Below are 5436 nucleotides of genomic sequence, written 5' to 3'. Positions count from 1 at the left end.
ACTGCAGCCTCAACTTCCCCAGTCGAGGGTGATCCTCCCATCTCAGCCTCCCAAGTAGCTGGGACTACAGGCGTGCTACCACGCCTGGCTGTTTTTTTTTTTTTTTTTTTTTTTTTTTACAGAGTCTTGCTGTCGCCCAGGCTGGAGTGCAATGATGCAATCTCAGCTCACTGCAACCTCTGCCTCCTGGGTTCAAGCAGTTCTCCTGCCTCAGCCTCCCAAGTAGCTGGAATTACAGACACACAGCAGCACACCTGGCTAGTTTTTTGTGTTTTTATTAGAGGCGGGGTTTCACCATGTTGGCCAGGCTGGTCTCGAACTCCTGACCTCAGGTGATCCACCTGCCTAGGCTTCCCAAAGTGTTGGGATTACAGGCGTGAGCCACCACACCTGGCCTGGGTGGACCTGGTTTCTAATGGCTTACATTTGCATATCAAAGGTTGCCAGCCTGGCTCTAAGAGCCGGGGCTTTACAAGAAACTTTTCCAGAGATGCTTTAAAAAATGAAAACTTCCCAAGGACCCCTTTTCCTCTCTATCTGCCTAAAATAATTTCTTAGTAACTCCTACAACATTACTTCCTGTGGAGATGCCACACTAACTGCTGTTAGGGGATTTTGGGCGGCGACTCCTTCTGGCTACTTCCTGCTGAAAAGGGGCGTTGAATGGGGAATAGCAGCTAGGGCTCCCCCTGGGATCAATCTAAGGGTCCTCGGAAGAATGGCCTGTCCATGTGTGGTTCAGTTTACAGCACCATTTGGAGTTTGATTGCTTCTAGGCGAGAAGAAACAATTCGAGTTATAGTATTGTATATACAGAGTCCAAATATCAATACAAGACATATAAGCAAGAGAGGGCTTAATAAAGGCGTTAACCAATTCCATAAAGAAGACTGGAATTTATTAAAGAGGGTTTGTAGCCACTCAGGGCTGAAGCTGGCATTTTTCCTGAGCCTATCAATAATTTTGATTTGATTTTTAAGTATCTGTAAATTTTCCTTTACTAGAGGTATTAATCCAAAAGCGGCATGTTTCATTTAAAACTGCATCACTAAACCCAATAAAAAGTCCTACCAGGCTCAGTGATAGTAAAACTTTCATGCTTCCTTTTTGTTAGTAACTATTATCCCTGCTATAAGGATAATAATTAAGCAAAATACGACAGCAATGGAAACTCTGTTTAATACTTCAGTTAGAAGGTGCTACTGTGTATAACCCTTTTGCAAATAATAGAGTGAGGATAGCAATTTCCGTAAGTGTGGTGTTGTAGATAATTTCCATCTAAAATTTTACTTGTCAAGATATAGAATTCCCCTTTGGGGGGGGTCTATGAAGTTCCTTGTTTTTATTTTCCTAAACAAAGAAACTTCCGGATTATGGGCACCCTACTCACTTTTATTACCTGGCAGAATTTGCAGGATAATTGCCCAGAACCAGTATATTGATCCAGATTTTTACATTACCCATCCCTTATTTTTTCTTCCAAGCTGCAGGAGACCACTACTTGATTCACAGGAATAAGCAGGGTTAGTCTAAAATGTAGGCGAAAAGCTTGAAAACAATTAATGAGACTAGGACTTAATGACAAATGTATGATAAGCTTTGGAGCACCATTTTTCTCTCTAGTCCTCATTTTTGGTAAAAACAAATTGTAAATAAACTGTAGTCTTATATTTGGCCTGATTATTTGCATAAAGTGCAGCAAGAATGGTTATTTTTACATAGGCCTTTTGGATTGGCTTTGATGAAACTCTGTTTCACAAGGAATTTCAGATAAGACTTTTAAAGCCGAGCCCAGCAATGGGTTTGTATCCTCAAATACCTGTGAACTGGGTGATCCTCTCCTCTTGAGTTCCCAAGATAAACTCGGAGCTTCCAGACCTGTTAGAAAGTGACATTCTTTACTAACCACAGGTTAGGAACCCTGTGCAGGGACTGTGTAGACAAGGTATGAGGCCAGTTCTCCCCAAGGGGCTTTTATTGGCTCTGCATGTCAAGCTTGATTCCTTAAAGAGAAACACACCCTTTCAGTTAAAGCCTTGGTAAAATAACCAGTTTTTCCAATTGTGTCCCGCTGACAAAGAAAAATGGATTCTTATTGCACCGATGCAAACAACTATATTGCCATAAGTTAAGAGTATTCACAGATAGTTCCCAAATTCCAGAGGAACCAGGCAGAGAAATAAACATGCTCTAAATTTTGTTCATAGGAATATACCTTACTCAATTATTAAAGGCCATCAATAGTTTAAAATAAGTTTCTCCTTGACTCTGAAAAACAAAACAAGGATCAGCAGTATTCCAAGCAAAAGATAAAAGACTTGCTTTAACTTTCTGAGTGCAACTCATTTAGTTAACTCTTGTTTTGCTTGATATTTGTGAACATGTCAGTTCTTTAAAAGTTTTCTATGTTCTTTCTCTGTTCCAATGTTACAATCTGTAAAGCTATTAAAACCTGCATTTGAGAACACCTGTTAAAGTTCTTAATATAGCTTGATTACAAACCGTCTTTTGAGAAGGAACAAAACACTTGTCTGCGAATGGCAACATTTCCTGGGTAGTTACAATTAAAAACATGACTGACAAAGAAGTTTGTGTATATCCATGGTCTACGATAACTTTACCTTTAATTATGACTGAGAGCATATACTTAGACATTAGAATTTTAGAAATCCCATACAATTTTTGAACATATATTAGTATTATTCACCAAAATATAACTTAAAGAAGATTGGACATCATTTTGGCAATCTCATGTGACTAAACATGTCAAATAATCCTGTTTATCTCTTTTTTAAATGTTTCAGGGGCCCTATGAACCATCCAAAAAGCCAATTAGGAAGGACAGTTCCCAGACTGCCATAGATTATTTTGCCCAAATGATGACTTAAAAGTCAAAAACCTTTTATTAGCCTTTACTATGACATGGAAATCCTGTTTAAAACCAAATTTTACCCTTGTATTAGTTTGTTAATGTTAACCCTAATTTGTTTAAATAAAACCTTATAGATTATTCCATCTAATCCTAACCAACTTGACCATGAAGTGAAATTTCTACAAACTTTTTATAACCCTTTTACTAAAAGGCAGAGTAGTGTTTTAAGACCTCCTTGCTATGCTTTTATTTCAATGCTTAATTTATGAAAAGACCATATAGATACTAGAGGAGAAGACAGTATAGTGCTTCTACCATGCATTTCATTGCAAGGCAACCCAAAGCCAACTGGCTTATTTTGTAATTAGCCCATCTCTGACGGGAGTCTCATCTCCCAGTGTGGGGTGGGGATGTTTCCTTATTTTTCAGGTGGCCAAGAGCATGCTTTTCTGATTTATAACTATTATTAGCCACCCCTTACAGGGTATTTTTTACCTAGTTATTATACACCAAAGCTCTCTTACAATGCGGAGTAATTTCTGATACCGCAAAACTCAAAACCATCAGATAATGCAAAACAGAACAGAGCCTTTGATTTTGAGAGGGAACTATTTGCTTTTAATTTCTGGGGTTTCATGAGGAAAACAGGTTTTTCCCCAAAACAGGGTCTGTGGCACCTCCTCTATTTTTCCCAAGGAGTCCCATGCTACCAGAAGTTATCTCAGGGCCTTTCATGCATGCACTAAGAGTGGCAAGACAAAAAAAAAAAAAAAATGGAAGAAAATAATTCAGCCGACTGAGAAGAACCTTTTTCCAGAAAACAAGATCCAAGAAAAGAAAAACATAAAGGCCTTTTAAATATACCTAAAACTTGAATATTCACTTTTAATTAAGCTGAGCGCTCTTTAAGAAATTCTTTTTAAATCCCTTGTTACTTGACTTCAGCCACGCCAAGCAGTTAAGATTTTTGGCTTTTGAACTTTACAAAGAGTAACCTCACAGGTGAAACCAACGAGCCTTAATTAGGTTATGACTTAACCGCCAGTGTACAAGGTATTTTCAAAGGAGTGATAGGTAGCTTTTGAAACTGTCATTGCAAAATTGTGACTGAGACCGTGAAAAAGATCCAACCCAAACAACTTCATTTTGTTTCCAGCTCACAAGCTGTCCTTGCCAATCACTGGGCGTAGGCTGAACCAACTTTGGGAGGAGTCAGGTTCACAGCCTGGCTCTAAGAGCTGGGGCTTTACAAGAAACTTTTCCGGAGATGCTTTAAAAAATGAAAACTTCCCAAGGACCCCTTTTCCTCTCTATCTGCCTAAAATAATTTCTTAATAACTCCTACAACAATACTCGTCTTCCCTGAATAGCAATGTTTTCCACGAGAACCAAAAATGCTGGAGAAGAGCTGACTTTTGATTATCAAATGAAAGGTTCTGGAGATGTATCTTCAGATTCTATTGACCACAGCCCAGCCAAAAAGAGGGTCAGAACTGTATGTAAATGTGGAGCTGTGACTTGCAGAGGTTACCTCAACTGAATTTTCAGGAAATAGGGCTGATGATCATTATAATTTTTTCCCCCTAAGGTTAACATTTTAAAAACTACGTATTTGGGACTCTTATTATCAAGGTTGTACCTATGTCAATTTACAATTCATGTTTCAAGACATTTGCCAAATGCATTACTGATGCCTCTGAAGAGAGGGCCACTGGGTCACATAGACTGATTTGAAGTCTACCTATTTAGTGCTTAGAGACCAAACATGGAAGGCAAACTATTTACAGCCCAGTATATATGTACTTAAGTCTATGTGAACGGAGAAATGCCTCCTGCACTGTTTGAAAGTGTTAAGCTGATAATGCAACTAACAATTGCTGAAAGAACAAACATTCAACTTGCCATACACCTCAAATTTGGAGAAAGAGAGTTAATTTGGGCAAATCTACAAGTTCTGTTTTTGTTTCTATATTGTCATTGTTGTTTAATACTCACTGTACTTGTAGTTGAGACAAATAGGTGATATTGAATTTTACACTCTATTTTCTTTTTCACTAAAACATTGGCATCTTAGTGATACAGAAATTTAAGGTATACAATTGCAGGGAGCCGAAGGCCTGTGGGATGTGACCAACTCAGCATTCTGCTGGAGGCTATATGATCAAAAAACAGTTTATCATGAATGCAGGATGTGGGCAAACTCACACTGCCCTGCCACCAAAAGGTTTGCTGAGGGACATCACTCCCCGGCGTTGGGCTCCTTGAAGTTACCTACTGAGAAAATCAGCGCCTATTGTTCAAAGGATGCAGTCTTGAAAGCCTGCTGTGAACCAAACAGCCGATGGACAATTACCTGAAAATCACCCCCCCACCCCCATTTCTCGCTATCTCTTTTGCCTAATAAATACAGAGGGTTGTGTAAAGCTCAGAGCCCTTGTCCACTAGAGGCAAGGTACCCCGGACCCCTTCTTCCAAATATACTCTTTTGTCTCTTGTCTTATTCCCGTGTTTGCCCCCCTTTGTTCAGTCCAATAGGTCAGCGGCATAGTGGCGCCCCAGAACAG

General features: G+C 39.3%; 1 annotated feature.

The window, feature by feature from the left end:
- Positions 4902-5436: an enhancer, noted in NCBI's record as "OCT4-NANOG hESC enhancer chrX:53192545-53193079 (GRCh37/hg19 assembly coordinates)". NCBI's record gives its function as "activates a minimal SCP1, AML or CMV promoter by ChIP-STARR-seq in naive H9 embryonic stem cells {active_cell/tissue: H9 hESC(naive)}" and the evidence as "EXISTENCE:reporter gene assay evidence [ECO:0000049][PMID:30033119]".

The sequence above is a fragment of the Homo sapiens genome, chromosome X, assembly GCF_000001405.40.
Source record: "Homo sapiens chromosome X, GRCh38.p14 Primary Assembly".
Classification (NCBI taxonomy): domain Eukaryota; kingdom Metazoa; phylum Chordata; class Mammalia; order Primates; family Hominidae; genus Homo; species Homo sapiens.
This window is presented reverse-complemented; position numbering and strand designations above follow the sequence as displayed.